This window comes from Homo sapiens, chromosome 1 (genome assembly GCF_000001405.40).
Source record: "Homo sapiens chromosome 1, GRCh38.p14 Primary Assembly".
Taxonomy (NCBI): Eukaryota; Metazoa; Chordata; class Mammalia; order Primates; family Hominidae; genus Homo; species Homo sapiens.
Genome location: NC_000001.11, coordinates 114,254,422 through 114,258,179, shown reverse-complemented (window position 1 = coordinate 114,258,179; position 3,758 = coordinate 114,254,422). Strand labels below are relative to the sequence as shown.

The 3,758-nt window shown below is 41.5% G+C and overlaps 1 annotated feature.

The window, feature by feature from the left end:
• Positions 294 to 762: a silencer, noted in NCBI's record as "fragment chr1:114800040-114800508 (GRCh37/hg19 assembly coordinates)". NCBI's record gives its function as "represses an EF-1alpha promoter that drives an FKBP-Casp9 reporter gene in an ReSE screen in HepG2 liver carcinoma cells {active_cell/tissue: HepG2}" and the evidence as "EXISTENCE:reporter gene assay evidence [ECO:0000049][PMID:32094911]".

Below are 3,758 nucleotides of genomic sequence, written 5' to 3'. Positions count from 1 at the left end.
TAATGGAGACATTGGCTTTCCTCTGCCTTTGGACTAAAATGGAAGCACTGGCTCTTCCTGGGTCTTGAGCCTCTTGTCTTTAGACTGGAACAACAACCAACAGTTTTCCTGGGTCTCCAGCTTGCTGACTCACCCTGCAGATCAGGAGTTGCTAGCCTCCATAACTATGTGAGCCAATTTTTTATAATCCACATCTTTCTGTATAGTATGTACAGGTGCATCATACTGGTTCTGTTTCTCTGGAGAACCCTAACTAATATACTCTCCAGCATCCAGTTCCTTTCTCTGGTTTTGGGAGTTTCTCAGTGTGTATCATCCTGGTGGGAGACAATGTCTCATTTCCTCCTATAGAAACCCAAGGGTCAGGTGGTCTTTCTCCCCACACCCTGGCTGCAGGGTGCAGGCACATGACCTGCACTGGGCCAGTCAGATGTCCCTGTCTGGGACTTTGAACCTGGAGGGGGCGAACCAAGAGAAAGAGGCAATTAGAGTTCACTTCAGGAGCAGCAGAGAGTGACTGCCAAAGGATGGCTGCCTTGGCTTTCTGGACATGAGTAAACTCTTGTCATTTTCTGTGCCTGGTTCTCCCAATACCAGTGGATTCTGAAAGTTGCTTTTATCCTTCCAGTAAATGCCCTTTTCTACTGATGATTGCAGGTTAGTCTCATGCTTGCAGCCAATAATCTTGACTTGTACAGATGTGAGACCTGTCTTTAAGGTTGGACCCTGGAGCCAGGAGAGCTCTTATTTCTGTCTGTGTCAAGTGTTAGAATTATACACAGACGCCACAGACCGTAATTGAACCAGTGAGTCATGGGAGGGGTGCTCATCACCAAAGCCAAAGGTAATAAGAACATCAACAACAGCAACCAAGAGCCTTTCTTATGTGAGTGCTTTGCTGTTTCTCTTGCATTATTCCATCTGATTATGATGACCTTCTGTGGTTGGTAGCCCCATTTTGTAAATGATGGAACAGAAAGATTAAGGAATCTGCCTCAGTTCATATTGTCCTAAGTGGCAGTTGCAATTCAAACTCAGAACTATCTGAGTCTATAGTCTGTGGTACAAAAGTGTAACTAGGTGGCAGGTGCAGAGAAACTGCTGAGTCCAGTTTGGAAAGATTGGAGGAGCATACAGAGGCAGGAGGTAGAGAATCAGGCAAGAAGCACAAGGGCCAGGCATGCTCATAAGGGCCATCTAAGAGTCTGCTCTGGTGTTTCTCGACCACTGCATTCAGGTAACAGAATCCACCCTCACTAGTTTAAACAGAAAGGGATTTGTTACAGGGTATTATTTAGTTTAGAGTTTCCAGAAGAGGCTCCAATCATGCTTGGATGCTACCCATTCAGGATTTATGCATCCAGGGAAAAAGACCAAGGAGAATTCCAGAATGGTCTAGAGGAAGCCCACTGGTGCCATGACTGGCCATCCAGCACTGATGATGCTAGGAACAGAACCATCATCCCCACTGCTCCAGAAAAGTCAAATGCTTCTGCTACTGCACTTGCTGAAAGATCCAACCTCCCTGCACATGAACACTGACAACATTGCTCACCTTTGCCTTTCAAGCCTCATGTTGGTGTCTTTGCGTGGTGGACCTGTGTCACATATGGAACAGTAGCTGCAAAGAATCTGGAAATGTAATTTTTAGCTTTTCAGCCTCTTTAGTTCAGGAAGGCTGTTTAGAAGCAGGTTGAAGTAGATGTTGAATGCCTGACTCAATGGCATTATCATCTTTTAACCCTATTGCCCTCATATCCATGTATGGTGGAAAATGTGTTTGAGGTCCCTATACTCCAAGTTGGTATCACACAACTTCACATTTAGAAGGGGTCTCAGAAATCACCTAGGTAGGTCAGAATTTTTCAAACTGGTTTGCAGGTCATGGAAGTTCCTTGAGGGGAATTAGAGACTGCCACAGTCATCAAGGAGAAAGGTTGGGGAGAAGAGCAAACACACAAGATTTTATAACAGCTCAGCTTTAATGAGTTTTAGGTTATGTGCTTAAAAAATAGTACCAAGCCACTGGCTAATCTAAGTTCTTCATTTTTACTGATGAGAAAATGAGGGCTAAGAGATGCAAATACCTTATCCAAGATCACAGAACTAATGAATAGTAAGGCTGAGACCAAAACAGGGTCTCCTGATCCTAGACTGGTGCTCCTTCCTCAACTGCACTGTGATATCTGAAGCTGTGTTCATTTGAAATTGCCCAGGATGCAGGATTTTCTGGATCCAGCACAGGCGGTGATAATCACCTGATTTCAGTATAAACACCAATGCCCCAGAGAAGTCTGCCTTGACCCAGGCCAAACCAGGTCTTGCTGTCATATCCTCTCTTGGAGCCTATACTTTCCCTTGAAGCACTCAACACAATTTTAATGAATAATTTAATCTTTATATTGCTTCATAGCTGTCTTTCTTGCTAGAATGTAGCTCCATGGAGCAAGGATTTTGTTGGTCTTGTTCAATGCTATATCCTCAGAATGTGGCAGTTTCCAATGGATGTCCAAACTCCAAAAGGGAGTGGAAGTCAGGGTAGGTAGGTCTAACCCTGCCTCCAGCTTCACTGAAGGGAGGGAGCAGTGACATAGAGTGAATAAGAACTATGGACTGAGTTCAGCCCTGGTCTGGGGCTCTATTTCCTTATCTGTTAAGTGGAGCCAATTATTTCATTCTCATATCACTGTTGTGAGGAAGAAAGGAGAGGAAGACTAAAAGTTGGGCCTGAACTTGGACACAAATTTTCCATGCCAGTCAAACTATGGGAGAAATTATAATCTCTGCCTAGGTGTTCTGAAGCCAATGGAAAGAAAGCCAAGAATGTGAGGACTGAGGCTCTTCCTGAGATCCTTGGACCTTAGCTCCTTGTTTTTACAGGACCTTCATTTCTATACTCTGGCCAAAAAATATAAATGTAAATTGTAGGAAAACATAGAAAATACAGACAATCACAAAGAAGAAAATTCAAAACCACCTCATGACCCAATGTCAATATTTTGGTGTGCAGCATCTAAGCCTTTTTTATATTTAAATTTATATGTCATCATTTATACTGCTTGTAACCTGCATGTTTCCATTAACAACATTTTGCGCACATTTTCGTATCTTAAATGTTGTTATATAATATGATTTTGCTACACTTTTTCTTTGAATTTTAATTTGTGATCTTTTTGCTTTTCTAATGGAAGCATTTAGTGCTATGAATTTTCCTCTCAGCCATGCCTTAGATGCATCCCACAAATTTTGATACTTTGTATTTTCACTTTCATTCAGTTCTATGCATTTTGATTTCCTTTTTTGAGATCTTTTAATTTTGATATCTGTTTTTTAAAATTGTAAGTTTAGTTTATTCATATGGCAAAACAATTCAAACAGTATAAAAGGGTGTTCAATAAAAAGAAAGTCTGTCTCTGACCCGATACCCCAGTTCTATTCAAGAAGTAGAATTTCACCAGGGTAACTATAGTGAATGGTAATTTTGTGTACCTGATAGAAATCTTCCAGTTATGTGCATGTATGTGGTGTGTGTGTGTGTGTGTGTGTGTGTGTGTGTGTGTACATGTGTGTTTGTATCTGTATGTGTTGATGTGTCTGGTGTTTTATCTTTTTACTGGACAAAAAGGAGCACACAAAACTCACTGTTCATTTTAGATATGTAGAATATTTATTACAAAAATTTTTTTATATCCCCCTCCCTGTTTTCATACTCCTTGAAACATCACTTTGAAGCTCTTTTCAACAAGAGAGGGAGAATA